The sequence below is a fragment of the Homo sapiens genome, chromosome 10, assembly GCF_000001405.40.
Source record: "Homo sapiens chromosome 10, GRCh38.p14 Primary Assembly".
NCBI classification, from domain to species: Eukaryota; Metazoa; Chordata; class Mammalia; order Primates; family Hominidae; genus Homo; species Homo sapiens.
Window position 1 is genome coordinate 100,291,615 of NC_000010.11, and position 19,528 is coordinate 100,311,142.

Genomic DNA, 19,528 nt, shown 5'->3' on the forward strand with positions numbered 1-19,528 from the left:
TCCTGCTCACCAGGTTCAGGGCCTCATGACCTCCTACAGGGATTATTGCAAAATCTGTTTGCCTCTAAATAACCTGCTATCCCCCAGCTTCCCCTTTACTCCCTACCCCTGAAATCCATCCTCCATAATACAACTAGAGTAATTAACCTTTCTAATATGCAGATCTAAAAATGTGCCTTCTTGAAATCCCTTCTGGCACCCTATTCTTTTGGCAGAGTGGTAGTGTGGCCTTTCTCAGTGTGGTCCTTGCCTGTTTCTCTGGTCTCATCTCCTGCTATGACCACCACCTGTCCCCGCCCCTTTATTTAATACTTAGCAATGCTCAACTACTTATTCCTCCTGTGTATGTTGCTTGGTTTCAGACCTCTATGCTTTTGTATGTGCTTTCATCTCTTCTTGGAAGAGCCTTCCTCTGCTTGTCCACTTGTGAGCTATTCATCCTCCAATATCCTATTTAGACATTACCTCTTCCAGGAAGCCTTCCCTTAAGCTCAGAGATAGAATTGATCACCCTCTACTCCTAGTCACTTCTGTTGAACTTATTCTGTGATTCAGTTTATTTGCAAGTCTATGAGCTCTTAGAAAACAAAGACTTTGTCCCATTTAATTACGTTGTCTCCTAATCCCAGCACTTTGGGAGGCTGAGGTGGGTGGATCACTTGAGGCCAGGAGTTTGAGACCAGCCTGGCCAACATGGCAAAATCCCATCTCTACCAAAAATACAAAAATTAGCCGGGCGTGGTGGCACATGACTGTAGTCCCAGCTACTCAGGAGGCTGAGGCATGAGAATTGCTTGACCCCGGGGAAGCTGAGGTTGCAGTGAGCCGAGATTGTGCAACTGCACTCCAGCCTGGGCAACAGAGCAGGACTTTGTCTCAAAAAAAAAAAAAAAATTATGTTGTCTATTACTCAGTGCCTGATCTGCAGCTGGTGCTCACAATGTATTTGTTCAATGTGTATTAATATGTTTGACTGGGAATCAGGGAGTGAATGGCTAAAGGAATAGATGAGTGTTTGTGGGGAAGCATAGAACAAAAATCAGAGTTTTGTGGGAGTGGGGTGTGTATTCAATGATTAGGGAATTATTACATTGTTTCCTAAGAGTTGTTCAACAAGATCCAGGATGTTATAAACCACGGTCAGAGATTTTTAAACCAAGGGCACAGTTCTGAAGGTCAGGAGCGGAGACCTACGGGCAAAGATCTGAAGCCTGCAAGTCAAGATCAGAGGCCCCTAAACTAAAACCAAAGGCTTATAAGCAAATGAAGTATGGTTGAGGGTTGAGGACTTAAGAGACTGTTATTAGAGAAGGCTGGGTCTCTGGTTGCTCACTCCCTTAAGGTGTTGGTGAAATCCTCAAACTGGATCTCCTGCTCCCCACCCTGCAGGACCTTCTGCACATCCGAAACCCTCTCCTTCCTCAGACGCAGTCTTAGTAGGGTCTTGTTGTAGCCCTGAAAGGGAAAGGAAATAGGCACAAGTTCTCACAGGCTGCTCACTCATCCCTGGCCCCCAGCCCCACCCATAGTATGCCAGGCTTCCAAGGATAAATTTAAAGGCACACAAGGGCACAGGCACCTCAATCAGTCAGGAACAGACCAGGACACAGAGCCTTAGACTGGGGCACTGATGGAAATGTGTAGCTCAAGGAGATTGAGCAATCACCTGTTTCAGGAGGTCAGAAAGTTGCAGCTCATCCTTCTGTCCAGCCAGCTCCTCCTTGACCTCTGAATATGTGTCATTGATGATGGCCAGGAACATGTTCTGGAAAATGAAGTGGGGACCTGGGTCCTCACCCCCAGACCCACTGAAAGGATTGAGCCCACTGACCCCATTAATGTCCAAGACACGTGTTCCAAAGGGGTCAGTGCTCTCAACCCCAGTTCGGCAGCCCATCAATCCCTGCCTCTCAGGGTCCCCAGAGCCCAGCCTTTCAGCACAGTTCTGTTAGAGATGGATCATGCTTCTTGACCAACCTGGTGTCCTCACTCTCAGTTGCTGTAGTAACCTTTCTGACCACAGAGATACAATAACATATGCCACAGACCTCCTTTGTATAAGGGCCCATCAATCATTGGAACTAGAGGCTTTTCAGGGTGAGAGTACAATTGTGATCTCTTTTTCATCTACCCCCCAATCCATATCTGTATCCCCATCCATTGATCAAATAAAGAAAATTGCTGGCCTTGTTAGTAAAAATAAAATCCAAGAGCTGGGCACACTGGCCTACACCTGTAATCCAGCACTTTGGGAGGCCAAGGCAGGCAGATTGCTTGAGTCCAGGAGTTAGAGACCAGCCTGGGCAACATAGCAAAACACTGTCTCTACAAAAGATACAAAAATTAGCGGGGTGTGGTGGCTCCTGACCATACCAGTGGTCCTATCTACTCAGGAAGCTAAAGTGGGAGGATAGTTTGAGCTCGGGAGGTGGAGGTTGCAGTGAGCTGAGATTGCACCACTGCACTCCAGCCTGGGTGACAGAGTGAGACCCTGTCTAAAATAAATAAATAATAACCCAGATTTTTCATGGTTGGCAGGGAGAGAGAACTACCAAGTAGTGGCAGTAGAAATCAGCATGAGATCCCCAGAGGAAGGGGAGTCTTGGAGGACGGTCGTAGACGCTTCCAGGTGCAGCTACTGCTCCTCATAAGGCACTTTTCTCCCCATTTCCATCCTTGGAGAATGAGGGTTTGATTTTACTGAGGGAGTCTGCAGGTTCCCTTATACTCTGCAAACCTGCAAACTGACCATGCTGGCTGTACTACATTAACCATCTCTCAGAAGATCCAGACATCGGCCCCCCCACTCACTCTCCATCCTTGATTTGAGAAACTTATCAATCCTGAGTGAGGGACATACTAGGACCAAAACTCCACCCTGCAGGCTCTCTATGTCCCCACCCCTCAGAGAGACCCTCACCAGGAGCACGAAGAAGACGAAGAAGACATAGGTGACAAAGTAGGCAGGGCCCAGGATGCGGTTGGCATTGTCGATAGCATTGTAGTCAAAGTCCCCGAGGATTATCCGGAACTGAGTGAAACTGAGAGACCAGGTCTGGGCTTTACCCAGAGCCTAACAAACACCCCCCATCCCACTTTCCTAATCACAGAGAGACCCCTCACCACACGTTCACCCCAATCTGATAGACACAGGGCAGGGTGCTTAGATTATTTAAGCACACACACCAGGGCTTCTGGAGACCCTCACACAGATGCTTTGAACACAGACATGCAGACACGCACGTACCCATCTTCCCCAAGGATACATACACCCGTGGAGCTGGAGGGTGAGGGGCCAGGGAGGAGTGAAGGGGACAGGACACACACATGCACTTGATGAAAGTGCTAAAGTTTTCCACTTGGGTCCCGAAAAGCAGGTAGCCGAGTTGGGCATAGGCGAAGAAAACAATGAAGAACATGACGGCGAAGCCCAGGATGTCCTTGGCACAGCGGGCCAGCGTGGAGGAGAGCTGGGTCATGGTTTTGTTGAAGCTGATGTACTTGAATATCTGGAAGGACCATGTTGAACCAAGGGATGAAGAAGGAAAAGGGAAAAGCATTGAAAAGTCCATGCCAAGGGCCTATGGAGGCCACAGGAGTTGCCAAGCCAGACAAAGAAAATGAGACACATATTGAAGAAGGGAGAATGATACAAAAATTAGCTGGGCATGGTGGCACGCACCTGTAATTCCAGCTACTTGGGAGGCTGAGGCAGAGAATCACTTGAATCTGGGAGGCAGAAGTTGCAGTGAGCTGAGATTGCACCACTGCACTCCAGTCTGGGCAACTGATTGAGGGACATACTGGGACCATTAAAAAAAAAAAAAAAAAAAAAAGCCAGGCACGGCAGTTCACTCCTGCAATCCCAGCACTTTGGGAGGCTGAGGCAGGTGGATGGCTCAAGGTCAGGAGTTCGAGACCAGCCTGGCCAACATGGTGAAACCTCGTCTCTACTAAAAATACAAAAAGTTAGCTGGGTGTGGTGGTGCATGCCTGTAATCCCAGCTACTCAGGAGGCTGAGGCAGGAGAATTGCTTCAACCCGGGAGGCAGAGGTTGCAGTGAGCTGAGATCGTGCCATTGTACTCCAGCCAGACAACAGAGTGAGACTTCGTCTCAAAAAAAAAAAAAAAAAAAAAAAGTCAGGGGCGGTGGCTCATGCATGTAATCCTAGCCCTTTGAGAGGCTGAGGTAGGCAGATCACCTGAGGTTGGGAGTTCGAGACCACCCTGGCCAACATGGTGAAACCCCGTCTCCACAAAAAATACAAAAATTAGCCAGGCGTGGTGGTGGGTGCCTGTAGTCCCAGCTACTCAGGAGGCTGAGGCAGGAGAATCACTTGAACTCAGGAGGTGGAGGTTGCAGTGAGCCAAGATCGCCCCCACTTCACTCCAGCCTGGGCAAGAGCGAGACTCCATCTCAAAAAAAAAAAAAAGAAAAAAAAGAAAAGAAAAGAAGGGAGAATGAGTGCGCCTTGAAGCAAAGCTGGGTGTGGGAATCCCAGGTACCTTGATCCAGGCGAAGAAGAGGTTGACAGCATTCATGTTGTTGTACTGTGTCTGCCAGAAGGCGAGGAACTCAAAGTCTGCATACGTGTTTGGCTGCTGCAGGAGCTTCCCCATGAGCCGATTCACCTCGAGGGTTCGGAATATGTGGAAGCCCACAGCCACAATGGAGAGCTGTCACACAGGGGTCATGGGGGTGTCAGAGAAGGCAAGGGGATCTCAAGGGAAGTTCCAAGATGAGGCCCCAAGGGAGAGTCAGGGTAGGTAAGACAGGTGGGAAAAAAGCCATCCTTGCTGACTTGTTCACTATCTCAGTTTCAAATGGAACTTGGTAGGATGACTGGGGAGCATCTTAAGTGTTCCAAAGCCCAAGAGAAGGCATTGGGGACAATGGTAAATATTAATGTATAGATTGTAAAGGGCTGTAGGGAACTGGAACCAGTCATTTCCTTCCGCTCCCACCACTTCCAAGCTTTGGTCAGGAATTGAATGTGTCTTGTTAATAGGAGGGAGATGAAGATGAAGGGGCAGAATATTTGAATAGAAGACAAAAGGCATGGGTTTCCACAGAACAGGTCATAAAGACAAAAGACAAGAGAGGAGCAGAATATAGTACACTAAAAAAAAAAAACACAGGGCTCAGATGACAGGTGAGGAGGAGAGGAGATGTGAGAGACAGGGTTTCCCAAGGGCTGAGAGAGGGGAACATGTCCCTCTCACTTAGGGAGCTGTTAAATGATGATTTGACCAAAAGTCAGAAGGAGGGCTTAGGGCTCCAAAAGGAAGAACCTGGAGCCCCTATTAGGGTGGAACTCCCTCCTCACCCCAGAATGTCCCAAGTCCTAGATATCTGTCCCTCACCAAGATGACCACCAGGTCCAGTATGTTCCAGATGCTGCTGAGGTAGCGAAGCCGGTGAATGTGGAGCTCCAGGATCTCTTCCACCACATAGTAGAAGATGAAGACGCAGAAGATGACCTCACAGCCAACGATAAAGAAGTCCCAGTTGCTGACATAGCGGATCAGCTTGACTGTGCGGATTTGCCAGGATGGGATGGCACCTCCTGTAGCTGGAAACTCCACCACCAGCCTATAGGGGGAGGGGGAGATGACCTCCAGTGGAGCCTTCGCTGGGACGGCTCCTCCCACTTCCTCTCCTCTCCACCCCCACCACAGGGTAGGAGTTTAGGGAAGGGTCTCATGCACAAGAGACGGGAACCAGGAGCCATGGACAGGGTGATAAAGTAGGGAAAGGGGGCTCACCTCAGGACACAGAAAAGATTGATATTGGCATTGTAGACTGAGAAGTCGATGAACACCACTCGAGTGCCCCTGTCCAGCCACAGCCCCTCCTGAAGGGCCCGGAGAGCCTCTGCACTACCCTGTCGGGATCCTGGAAGGTCCAGGTAGTAGCCACCTCCGCTGTAGCTTGTGAGCCTGCCCCAGTGGGAGAAGCCCCCCAACTCATCCTGCGAGTGGTATGTCCACCTGCCACAGAAAATGCCAGCTGAGCCAGCCCAAAAGTTCATCTCCCAAGGCAATGGCAATGCTTTATCATTGTCTGGGCTTTACAGGTTTACATATTGTGTGTGTGTGTGTGTGTGTGTGTGTGTGTGTGTGTGTGTGTATGAGATATGTGATATATACATATATAATGTATCATTTATTATTCTGTTTGATACTAACAACCATTTGAGAAGGGAGAGTGAATATTATCCACATTTTGCAGAAGAGGAAACTATGAAAGAGGTTACCGAGATAATCCAGCTATAAATGACAGAACTGAAACTCAAATGTAAATCTGATTTTTCACTATGTCACTCAAAGATTTGGATGACAAAGCCAAGCCCCACTTTTGGCCCACCTTGAATAGTCCCCCTAAGGGAAGCACCTGGACCAGGAGGAAAAGATCCTCCAGCTCTGTGATTGCACATCAGGCTCCTTCACCCCATGTTTCTCCATTCTATCCACTAAACTTTCTACCCTGGGTGCTTATTTCCTCCCTCTTCTGTCCTGTCCACCCTTTCCCCCTTCCTCCCTAATTTGTCATCCATCCTTGACCCCTTGCTGCTCCACGTATCAATCTCAAGGGTTGGGTTCTTCAATTTCACCCATTTTGTATACCCCTAACCAACTTCTAGGCAAGAAAGGAAGCTTTCCCTGGAAGGACTACGTGCAAGGTAGGACAAGTGTGATTGCAACCTGTCTGTGGGAACAAGTCTGGAGGCTATTGCTGTGTTTGCTAACCTACCTCCTCTGTTCCTGAGTGACACAGACCAAGGTCCCCAAACAGTCACAGCTGGGATTCAGGGAGATGCCCCCAGAAGTCCCTTAAAGAGCTCTGAGGCTCTTTAAGCCTCAGTGGAAGTGGTTCCCAGACCTTGGGATGGTGTCAGGTTTAGAGGGGCAAGCCCTGTGATATTGGTAGGACAGGCTCACTCACGCTGTGCCATTGAAGGGCCCAAAGGGGAGTTGTTCTTCTTTGTCTGGAGAGTAGACATCATAGCAGCTCAGAATGTCCTCCCGGAAGTCTTCATGCACCACACAGGAGTCATTGCGGACCTTTAGCTGCCGCAGCCTCGGAACCCCCAGCAGCATGTTCTCATAGTAGATGAAGGAGTGGGAGCCATGGCCCAGGCTCTGGTTGTTGTACCATTTGGTCCAATACAAACTGTCCAGTAGTGGGCCCTGGGCAAACTGAACCACAAGCTGGCTTGAACCTTACCCAGCCTCCTCCTGACCCCCTACCTTTAGAATGACCTTTGCCCTCATCCTCTGACTCCCCAGCTTGTCTCCAGTCTGCTTTTTAAAAAATTATTGTTATTATTATTATTATTATTATTTTAAGGGACAGAGTCTCGCTTTGTCACCCAGGCTGGAGTGCAGTGACACAATCTCGGCTCACCGCAACCTCTGCAACCTCTGCCTCCCAGGTTCAAGCGATTCTCCTGCCTCAGCCTCCCGAGGAGCTGGGATTTCAGGCATGCATCACTATGCCCAGCTAATTTTTGTATTTTTAGTAGAGACAGGGTTTCACCATGTTGTCCAGGCTGGTCTTGAACAACTGACCTCAGGTGATTTGTCTGCCTCAGCCTCCTAAAGTGCTGGGATTACAAGTGTGAGCCACCGTGCCCGGCCTGCTTTTTAAAACTCCTCCATTGACCAATGAACCTTGACCAGAGTCTGACCTGAAGTGGCCCTACTCTTTATTTAAAATTCGTTTTGAAGTTCAGCCTTACCTCTGACTCCCGATACTAATCTAACTCCTGGTTTAATTCCCTGATTGCTGTATTAATCCCTTACCCACCTCCACCTGAACTCTAGACTAACCCATTAATTCAGCCTGGCCCTTTGACTCAGTCTGATCCCTGACTGATTTGATTTCCCAGCATAAGGTCTGATCCGTTGTCTGACCTGTGGCCTCAGGCCATTGAGAAAGAGAGGGGAGGGGTAGAAAAGATCTTATACTCACATCCCAGAAGTCCGCCATGCTGCTGATGGCCTGAAAGGAGACTCCAGTGTCTGATGGAGTATGTAAGAAGAGCTCAGACATCACTTTGGTGTAGTAATAAGCACTGGAGCTTGTCATTCCATAGGTCACTAGAAAACAACCCAAGAGGCTATGTCCTTCTCACTGTTCCCCCAGAGGAGACAGGAAAGCCTATTGCCCTGGAGTCAGAGATGCTTCCAAGATGGAAGCCCATCCCCCATCTGGACCCATCCTCTAGACTTGGTTAGGAGCCTAATGGTGGCATGAGGAAGCCAGGAAATGCATTAGGAAAGGGTTGTAGCTACAATGTCTCCTCCTCTTCTTCCAACCCACCTCAGAAAGACTGAACTCCACTCAGTAGTTGTCTTACATTGTTATTATAAAAATACACTTTTCTTTTCCTGAACCAGCTTAACTTCCCAGTTCTTACTCCCCAGAGCAAAGATATTCCTGCCTTCTGCACTGTGTAGTGATTCCTTTTGTCTGCTTCCAAAAGGTAGTGATGCCTTTTGGAAAGTGCCCCCAAAGTCTAGAGTACTCCCTCTAGAGTTCAAGGCCTTGGCCAAACACCTTACAATAGAGATGTGGTCTCATGGCCCCTGGTGTCAGTGGCTGTAGCCATGGGAGTGGCAGGTAGGCACAGCACCTCTGTCCCTGGCATGACTAGTACGATCAGATGGGCACAGTCATCTCCTGAGAGAGCGACTCAGTGTTCCCAGATCAAAAAAGACCTAGGAGCAATCACCCTGTGATTCTCCCTGTGCACACATTGTGTGCAAGTTAAATTAAAAAAAAAAGACCTGGACTTTACCCTGAAGAACTTGATCTCCCTCATGCACCCTAACACATCCATCCAGTCCCATGTGCCAGTAGGGCTGTAGGGAGCACTAAGTTTTGTTTACAAAGCAGGATTCTAAAAGTATAAGTCATTTATTTAACAGATTGTCCTTCAATTTAAGTTAGTCTAATGTTTTCTTATTTTTAAATTCGGTTATGCATTTTTGGGAGGGATATCATAGAAGTGATACTGTGTCTTTCTCAGTGCATGATATCAGGAACTACACATTGCCTGTTCATCTCATTACTAGTGAGATTAACTTTGATCTTTTGTTAAGGTGGTGTCTGCCAGTTTCTTCAACGTAAAATTACTGTTTTTCTTTTTGTAATTAATACGTGTTTTTGTGGGGAGACCCCTTTCAAACTGTGTATTTTTTGCCTGATTATTACTAACATTGTCAAATGGTGATTTTTTTTTTCACTGTTGTTGCCCAGGATGGAGTGCAATGGCACGATCTTGGCTCACCAAAAACTCCGCTATCGGGGGAACCTGCCCCCGATAATTCAACGTAGGTTCTTTTCTATTTCCCTAAGTGTCTGCTGGTCTGAGAAATAAAGGGAAAGAGTACAAAAGAGAGAAATTTTAAAGTTGGGTGTCCGGCGGAGACGTCACATGTCGGCAGGTTCCATGATGCCCCCTGAGCCGTAAAACCAGCAAGTTTTTATTAGCAATTTTCAAAGGGGAGGGAGTGTACGAATAGGGTGTGGGTCACAGAGATCACATGCTTCAAGGGTGACAAAAGATCACAAGGCAGAAGGTCAAGGCGAGATCACAAGGTCAGGGCGAAACTAGAATCACTAATGAACTTCCATGTCCTGCTGTGCATGCATTGTCATTGATAAACATCTTAACAGGGTTCAAGAGCAGAGAACCAGTCTGACTAGAATTTGCCAGCCTGGAATTTCCTAATCCTAGGAAGCCTGGGGGCACTGCAGGTGGCCAGGGCGTGTTTCATCTGTTATCTGCAGCTGCATAAGGCAGACACCCCCAGAGCAGCCATTTTAGAGGCCCCCCCCCCGGGAATGCATTCTTTTCCCAGGGCTGTTAATTATTAATATTCCTTACTGGGGAAAGAATTCAGTGATATTTATCTTACCCGTTTTCAGTAATAAGAGAAATATGGGTCTGTCCTGCCCGGCCCACAGGCAGCCAGACTTTAAGGTTATCTCCCTTGTTCCCTGAAAATCATTCTTATCCTGTTCTCAAGGTGCCTAGATTTCATATTGTTCAAACACACATGCTTTATGAACAATTTGTGCAGTTAACGCAATCATCACAGGGTCCTGAGGCAACATACATCCTCAGTTTACAAAGATGACGGGATTAAGAGATTAAAGTAAAGACAGGCATAGGAAATTATAAGGGTATTGATTGGGGAAGTGATAAATGTCCATGAAATCTTCACAATTTATGTTCTTCTGTCACGGCTTCAGCAGGTCCCTCCATTCGGGGTCCCTGACTTCCCGCAACACTCCGCCTCCTGGATTCAAGTGATTCTCCTGCCTCAGCCTCCCAAGTAGCTGGGATTACAGGCATATGCCACCACACTCAGCAAATTTTGTATTTTTAGTAGAGATGGCGTTTCTCCATGTTGGTCAGGCTGGTCTTCAACTCCTGACCTCATGTGATCCGCCCACTTTGGCCTCCCAAAGTGCTGGGATTATAGGCATGAGCCACTGCACCGGCCTCAAATGGTGATTTTTTAAAATTCCACAATTCCTTCTCCATTTATTAGTTGACATTCTCTTCAGAAGAGCTTTCCCTTATTCCTAATTCATGTATTCATGCATACACACACACACACACGCATACACACACACACACACACACACACATATCAATTAGAACCTATGGATTCTTGGCAGCTTTTCTTCCCTATGGGTTATAATTTATTATTTATTTTGTTGCTCAGGTTTTTTTGGCCAGGAAATAAAAGGCAAAGAAAAACTAAAGAATTGTTCCAGGTTTGGCCAGGTGCAGTAACTCACACCTGTAATCCTAGCACTGTGGGTGGTGGAGGTGGGCGGATCACTTGAGCTCAGGAGTTCGAGACTAGCCTGGGCAATATAGCCAAACCTCATCTCTACAAAAAAAAAAAATTACAAAAATTACCCGGGCATGGTGTTGCATGCCTGTAATCCCAGCTGCTTGGGAGGCTGAGGCAGGAGGATCACTTAAGCCCAGGAGGCAGAGGTTGCAATGAGCCAAGATCATACCACTGGGTGACAAAGTGAGACTCTGTCCCCCAAAAAAAAAAAAAATTGTTCCAGGTTAAATGAGACTAAAGAAATTTGACTTGATATAAATGTTCTGAAGCAAAAAAAGAAAAAAATTGAAAGCTAATCCTGGACCATAATTTTTTTCCTTTTGCTATAAAGGCTGTCAGTGGTATAATTGGTGAAATTGTAATATGGTCTGTTCATTAGATGATAGTACTGGATTGCTGATAAATTTCTGACTTTGATAAGAGAATATCCTTGTTTTTTAGAAAATACGTATTGAAGTATTTAGGAACAAAAGGGCATTATGTCTATAATTTACTCTCAAACTTGTGTGTGCGTGTGTGTTTGTGTGTGTGCACACGCACATGTGTGTGGAGGATGGGGAAAGAGAGAATGAGAAAGGAGAAGCAAGCATGGTAACATGTTCATATATGGGAAAACTGAGTGAAATATATGCAGTGTATCAAGAATTCTTTGTCTTTTTCTTGCAAATTTTCTTTAAGTCCATAATTACATCAAACTGTTTTTTTGTTTTTTTTTTTGAGACGGAGTTTCACTCTTGTTGTCCAGGCTGCAGTGCAATGGCACGATCTCGGCTCACTGCAACCTCCACCTCCTGGGTTCAAGCAATTCTCCTGCCTCAGCCTCCCGAGTAGCTGGGATTACAGGCATGCAGCACGACGCCCGGCTAATTTTATATTTTTAGTAGAGACGGGGTTTCTCCATATTGGTCTCGAACCCCCAACCTCAGGTGATCCGCCCGCCTCGGCCTCCCAAAGTGCTGGGATTACAGGCATGAGCCACCGCGCCCGGCCCACATCAAACATTTTAAAAGTAGAATTTGTCAGCCTCTTATGAGCAATTCCCTTTAAGAATTTTCATTTTCAGATCTTGGGCCATATCTTCTCCCACTTCCTCATCTGGAAGGCGAATGATCACGGATTGGGCACTAACATTATACTTTTTCAGGGGGAAAAAATGGCAAAGAAGGAAACATTATTATTCACATTTCCCCATTCCACACTGTTAAGTCCAAGATATGGCTTTACTTCTAACTCAAATCTGTGATTACTTGTCATTAGTTATTTGGACTCAATTTTTCTGGATGTGAAAATGGGGTCCCGCTGGAAATCAAACTTCTGTGTGCGGAAAGCCCATCACAGTTACAACTGATAGCAAGCTGAACCTTTCCTAATGAAGCAGGTTGGCTAAATTGTCACATCTTCTGAGTAGCCACTAGGTGGTACTCATTGCTACAGCTTTTCCTCTTTTCCAATTCGGAGAATTAACATTGCTCGGAGAAATAACATTGCCCGTCAACTATTTATGGATGCATAATATCTCTGATTATTATACAAGGCAGTAAATATTACACGTCTTCTGAGAAAAATGGCTTGACCTGGTAAAATGCCTATTGACAGGCAGAAATTCAGTATTCGCTATTTGTAACTTTTTAAATTGAAGTGCATAGGTACAGAAAAGAGCAAGAAGCAACCTTAAAAATTTTCTAAATTAGAATCTAAATTTGGTTTAGTACCTATTCAACACTCTCTCCCCATACAAACACTCTTTCTCCCTCATTAATTCTTACATCTGTGAATTTTGTACTCCATCCCATGAGATGAGGGGTACTTTCCCACCATTTTATGAAACCCAAACCGAGTATTTCTAATACCTCCGATGTTCATAGTTAGTAGCCCATATTATCAGCCTATCAACCTGAATTATTCTAAAAACACATTTTATATTCATTAAACAAACATTATTCAAATTCTACAATGTATAAAATACCTTGCTAGGTGTCACGGTTTCTTTTATCTTTATCTTTTCTTTTCCTTTTTTTGAGACAGGGTCTTGCTGTGTTGCCCAGGCTGGAGTGGGGTGGCACTATCATAGCTCACTGCAGCCTCAAACCTCCTGGGGTCAAGTGATCCTCCCATCTCAGCCTCCTGAGTAGCTGGGACCACAAGTGCATGCCACCCCTTTTTAAATTTTGTGTAGAGACAAGGTCTCACTATGTTGCCCAGGCTGGTCCTGAACTCCTGAACTCAAGCTGACCTCCGCTGTTAGCCTCCCAAAGTGTTGGAATCATAGGCGTGAGCCACCATGACCAGCAGTGTCATGGTTTCTATCCTTAAAAAGTTCTATTGAGGAAGACGTGTCCCAGAATGAACTTGATGTAGCAGAATGAGCATGAGCACTGCAGCCAGACAGATCTAGGTTCAAATCCCAGCTCTGCCACTTACAGTATAGACTTGGGCTCTGAGTCTCAGCTTTCTCATCTGTAAAACTGGGAATATAATACCTTTTAGGCAACTCAATAAGTAGTTGAGTAGCTTCCCAATAAGTGTTTGTTGGTTGAACCAACAGTGGAAAAATGAAAAATAACTATAATACTATAATAAAGGGTAGAAATGAAATAAGTGAATCATTTTCTCTTCTTGTCTTTTTTTTTTTTTTTGAGATGGAGTCTCGCACTGTCACCCAGGCTGGAGTGCAGTGGCGTGATCTCAGCTCACTGCAACCTCTGCCTCCCGGGTTCAAGCTATTCTCCTGCCTCAGGCTCCTGAGTAGCTGGGATTACGGGCGCCCGGCACCATACCTGGCTAATTTTTTGTATTTTCAGTAGAGACAGGGGTTTCACCATGTTGACCAGGCTGGTCTCGAACTCCTGACCTCAAATTATCCACTTGCCTTGGCCTCCCAAAGTGCTGGGATTACAGGCTTGCACCACCACACCCGGCCAAGTGAATCAATTTCAAACTGAGTAAAGCATCATTAATCCATGTTTGACCCATCACAGCAATGTCATCAAAATAGTCAAGGACAACTTATATTTAGTAAATGTTGGAAAGAGGCTGGAATATTCCTTAGTCCAAAGAGAACAATACATTCATTCAAGTCTTGGGTAAGAGAAATAAAGCCAGTCCTTGATTGACCTAGCAAGCAAGCACAGTTTACCAGGAACCCCTCCCTACACAGCGTGAAGGTAGAAATGGTGCTGGCAGAACTCAGTCTCTCTAATAAGTCATCCGTCGAGAGCATCAGATGGGCATCAGGCATGGAGGCTGCAGGAATCTGAATCTAAAAGCAGGGCAGAGGAAGCCCAGGGTTGTACATGGGGTGATGATTTGGCTCATGTGTCTTTCTCCCCTTTTCTTAACCCACCGATGATAAGCAAACTTTAGCATGCATCAGAATCACCTGGAAGGCTTTTTAAAACACAAATTGCTGGCCAAGTACAGGGCTCACTCGTATAATCCCAGCACTTTGAGAGGCTGATGCAGGTGGATCACTTGAGTCCAGGAGTTCGATATCAGCCTGGGCAACGTGGCAAGATCCTGTTTCTACAAAAAAAATACATAAATTAGCCGGGCATGGTGGTGTGCACCTGGGGTCCCAGCTACTCGGTGAGAGATGAGAGGTCAAGGCTGCAGTGAGCCAAGATCATCTCAAAAAACAAAAACAAAAACAAACCAACCCCTAAAAAACATGGATTGCTATAGGTTTAGGTGGGGCTCAACAATTTGCATTTCTAATAAGTTCCAAAGTGATACTCGTGGTCATGGGACCACACTTTGAGAACTGCTGCCTTGACCTGTTGCAATCAGACAAGCAATCAGTCCTACTTGTCTTCAATAGAAATGTCAAGAAGGCAGTGGGTTTCCCAGTATCTATTTTGGTGATTCCAAAATAGAGAGTAGAAAGAGAAAAAAGCTTCCAGAGGGCTCTCAGAACTTCCCAGGGATCTCAAGATGACTTACAAACTACACAGAACACTTAGGACACCTGCTTCCCACTCCAGGGGAAAATCACTGAGTTCACTGTCCATGTGAACCACTGGTAGTTATGTAAGGGGATCACATCCCTCGGGTGCATTATTGCAGAAGAAAACTGAAAACAACTTAATGGGTCGGGCGCAATGGCTCACACCTGTAATCCCAGCACTTTGAGAGGCCAAAGCGAGTGGACTACTTGAGACAGGAGTTTGACACCAGCCCGGGCAACATGGCGAAACTCTTTCTCTGCTGAAAATACAAAAATTGGGTGTGTTGGCACACACCTGTAGTCCCAGCTACTCGGGGGACTGAGGCAGGAAGATCACCCGAGCCTTAGGAGATCAAGGCTGCAGTGAGTCATGATCGTGCCACTGCCCTCCAGCCTGGGCGAGAGAGTGAGACCCTGTCAAAAAAAAAAAAAAAAAAGAAAGAGAGAGAAAGAAAGAAAGAAAAAACAAAAACAAAAAACTTGATGATCTTTCCTGGTGTTTCCCTCCCCCTACATCCCCACTAGTTTCTATTCTCTTCAGGTAATAAGTATCGTAGTTTGACTCTACAGTCAAGAACCAGCCTGTTTAACTGGAACGCCTGGTTCAAAGATTTCCGAATCTGACAGAGGCTCAACATATCCATTTCATCATCACCCTTCTCCAAATCAGGAGAAAGAAAGGACAAGACTAGACACCTATTGCCTCAAAACACCTATTACGTGTCCTGTGTTAAGTGCTTGACATGCTTATTTCATTTAATCCTACTACAGCCTTATGCGGTGGGTGCCAATATTATCCATGCTTTCCAGTTTTGGAGAGTTTAAGTAAGTTGCCCAAGGAAAACAACTAATGGAGCCAGGATTAAAATGCAAATCTGTCTGCCTCCATAGTAGACCGATTGTGTATCACTCCCAGAATTATCCCAAGAGATACATGTTACAGAGGGTGGCCAAGTCCAGTGGGTCATCCCAACACTTTAGGAGGCCAAGGCTTGAGGATCACTTGAGCCCGGGAATTCATAGAGCAGCATGGGCAAAACTGGGAGACCTTGTCTCTACAAAATATTTTTAAAATTAGCCAGGCTTGGTGGTGGGCACCTGTGATCCCAGCTACTTGGGAGGCTAAGGTGGGAGGATCGCTTGAGCCCTGGAGGTTGAGGTTGCAGTAAGCAGTGATCGTGACATTGCATTCCAGCCTGGGCAACAGAGTGAGACACTGCCTCAAAAAATAAAAATAAAAAGTTATAGGGGAGAAACTTTAGCTACATAAAAGGCAGTCCTTCTTCACCACTAGTACTTTCAATTATGAAATGGGCCACTTCACAAACATCCTTTTCACCACTGGGCGTGTCAGCAAAGGATTGTCAGCTGAAGATCATCTGAGGCTCACATGGAGGGGGTTCTAGGGCTGGCCTTCCCAGCTCCTTTCTGTAAGATACAGTAAAAGAGTGGAATTGCCCTTTGTATTTCATAAGGTGACACTAGACCAGAGTGGGGAATGAGTCAGGATTTGACTCAGTATGTCAAATGCCAGTACGTCACTACCATTTTAAGGCAGAAATGGGCTCATTCCAGGAAATCTTTGGAGACTGGATGATAACTACATGAGAATGTGCGAAGGGGTTTCAGAGACTAGGTGATGGTTTCATGTCAAATGTAGAGAGTATCTGATTTTTTTTTTCTTGGACAGAAATTAAATTCTTCTGTACACACTATATCATGCTTCTTAATCTTGTTCTCAGATCAAATTCACAATTGCTCAATAATAACAACAACCACCATTATTGATACATTATTCACCAGGCTTTATATACATTTTCTCCCAGGATCCTGAAAAATACCAATAAAATAGGAATTACCATCTCCATTTTATACAGATAACTCAGATTTAGAATGTTGCTTTTTTTTTTTTCTCGAGATGGAGTCTCTCTCTTGTTGCCCTGGCTGGAGTGCAATGACACCATCTCGGCTCACTGCAACCTCTGCCTCCTAGGTTCAAGCAATTCTCCTGCTTCAGCCTCCCAGGTAGCTAGGATTACAGGCATGCACCACTACACCTGGCTAATTTTTGTATTTTTAATAGAGATGGGGCTTCACCATGTTGACCAGGCTAGTCTCGAACTCCTGACCTCAGGTGATCCACCCACCTTGGCCTCCCAAAGTGCTGGGATTACAGGCATGAGCCACTGCGCCAGGCCCCAGAATGGTGTTAAATAACTTTTCAAAAGATAATATAGCAAGCAAGTATTATAACTTGGATTCAAACTCAAATCTGCCTTACTCCAAAAGCCGTGATTTAACCACTATTCTACACTACACTAATATACCATGCTATCACCCTAACACCCTAAATCCTTCTGATTAAGGATTCTGACTCTCCTTTCAAAATTCCTTCCAAATAGTTAGGATTGTGCAAGTCTATAAGATGTCCTTATAAGCAAACTCTGTTTTAAGAGTTTAATAACTGAGTCTGAAGGTGAATTGCAAAAGCACTTGTTAAACTCAAAAGATCACCGTCTTGAAAGAAGCTCCATTCTGGTGTAAAATGAATAACAGTATCTAAATCTGTATCAGGAACCATATGCTGACACAGATAAGTCCCAAGGAAGGAAAAAGTCACATGCACAAAAATGATACCTGGGTTATTTATAACATCAAAAAAAAATGCAAACAACCTAAAAATCTTACAGAGACAATTATTAAGTAAATTATGAGATCACTGAGTCACTTAATGGAATATGATACAGTCATCGAAATAGTAACAAAAACAATGCAAAACTGTATCCATACAATGATTGTATCCATAAAATGAAAATTATTTTGAAAACACTAAGTGTAAAAACTTGAAGGAAAAACTGACTTTTTAAAAACCAGTGGTTTAATAGCTGGATTTTCTTTCTTTTCATTCTCATGGATATTCTTATACTATAATAATAGTAAAACAATATAAAAATTATAAAATCATTAAAAAAATTTTTTGTCTGTATGTTTCCAAGTTATAGGCTGAAGTTTCCAGGTGCTGGATGCTGTACTGACTTTGCTATTGCTTCATTAAGATCTGTTCCCTCCTCTCTTGGCTAATACCATGATTTTATATGAGGTATCACACCTCTCTGGATCATCTCACATATGTTGGCAGAAGCTAAATCCAACCCTGGCTATAGGACTTGGACAAGCAGTTCAGGCCAGAGCAAATCTGCAGAGACTCCTCCCTTAGCACAATTTACAGGTTCAGGGATGACCTTGTAACCCATTTCAGGTCAAGGAGTCATAAAAAGAGATTTCTGGAACCTTTGGTGATCTTCTCTTTTCTACTAGATGTGAATGAGAAAGCCCCAGAAGAGTCAGCCTTAGGATGAAACTGATTGTGCCCCTGGCAAAACTGAGTAACAGAAACAGACAGATCCTTGACAATGTCATTAAGGCACTAGCTTGATCAGCCCTGAACCCTGCAATAAATCCCATTACCCAGACAATAAATCCCATTATGGTTGAAGCCAGTTTTCGTTGGGTTGTCCTTCATTGTAACATAGTCCTTACTTATATGGCAACCATAGCATTTCCAAAAAGGTTGCACCATTTCTGAGGAAAAGAGAGCTAGAAAAGAGGGCAGCAAGCCCAGCGCAGTGGCTCACACCTGTAATCTCAGAAATTTGGGAGGCCAAGGCGGGAGGATTGCTTGAGTACAGGAGTTCAAGACCACCCTGGGCAACAGGGTGAGACCCCATTTCTACAAAAAGAGAAAAAATTAGCTGGATGTGGTGGCACACATCTGTAGCCCCAGCTACTCGGGGAGGCTGAGGCAGGAGGGTGCTTGAGCCCAGGAGGCTGAGGCTGCACCACCATGAGCTGTGTATGCGCCACCACACTCCAGTCTGGGTGACAGAACAAGACTCTGTCTCAAACAACAAACAAACAAACAAACAAACAAAAAGCAAAAAGAGGGCAATGGATGCCAAAACCTACATTAATTAAAATACATTCTTATCCAATATTAAAAGGGGCTTGCTGAGCAAGTCAACTGATGATGATATTCTAAAAACATGCCTATCATTAAGTCCTCAGGCTCTTCAAGTTTTATTTCTGGGTAAAGCAACATCTCTAAAATACCATGAAAAATGTATATTATATACACACACATTTATACATGTGTGTGCAGGCACACACGCACACACACACACTTCTCCTAAAATTGCCCTTATAAAATGAGTATTTAATATGAATTTTAAGGAAGGCAGATATAAAAAAGAGTCAAATGAAAAGTAGCTCCAATTTTTATTTTTTATTTTTTTGGAGACAGTCTCACTCTGTCGCCCAGGCTGGAGTGCAGTGGCGCAATCTCGGCTCACTGCAGCCTCCACCTCTCAGGTTCAAGCAATTCTCCTGCCTCAGCCTCCCAAGGAGCTGGGACTACAGGCATGGGCCATTCCTCCCAACTAATTTTTTATATTTTTAGTAGAGACAGGGTTTCACATTTCATGTTGCCCAGGTTTCACGTTGCCCAGGCTGGTCTCGAACTCCTGAGCTCAGGTAATCTGCCCTCCTTGGCCTCCCAAAGTGCTAGGATTACAGGCATGAGCCACCGTGCCTGGCCAGAAGCTCCAATTTTTAACATTGCTTTTATCCTTTATGATATTCCATGCTCCTTATATAAAAACCAACAAGGCCAATTATTCCCAGAGTTAGCACCTCCCTATTAACTGGTG

At 45.2% G+C, this 19,528-nt stretch overlaps 1 protein-coding gene across 2 annotated transcripts in view; it reads right to left on the bottom strand.

The window, feature by feature from the left end:
- Positions 1–19,528, bottom strand: part of PKD2L1 (polycystin 2 like 1, transient receptor potential cation channel) — a 42,080-nt gene that overhangs the window by 3,466 nt on the left and 19,086 nt on the right. For both annotated transcript variants that reach the window (NM_016112.3, NM_001253837.2), the window contains exons 3-11: positions 7,977–8,104; positions 6,948–7,201; positions 5,768–5,992; positions 5,366–5,594; positions 4,508–4,678; positions 3,328–3,509; positions 2,921–3,041; positions 1,667–1,765; positions 1,334–1,455 (exon numbers count right to left, since the gene is read on the bottom strand). In NM_016112.3, coding sequence (NP_057196.2) covers positions 1,334–1,455; positions 1,667–1,765; positions 2,921–3,041; positions 3,328–3,509; positions 4,508–4,678; positions 5,366–5,594; positions 5,768–5,992; positions 6,948–7,201; positions 7,977–8,104 — 1,531 coding nt within the window. The remainder of the gene's footprint in view (positions 1–1,333; positions 1,456–1,666; positions 1,766–2,920; positions 3,042–3,327; positions 3,510–4,507; positions 4,679–5,365; positions 5,595–5,767; positions 5,993–6,947; positions 7,202–7,976; positions 8,105–19,528) is intronic.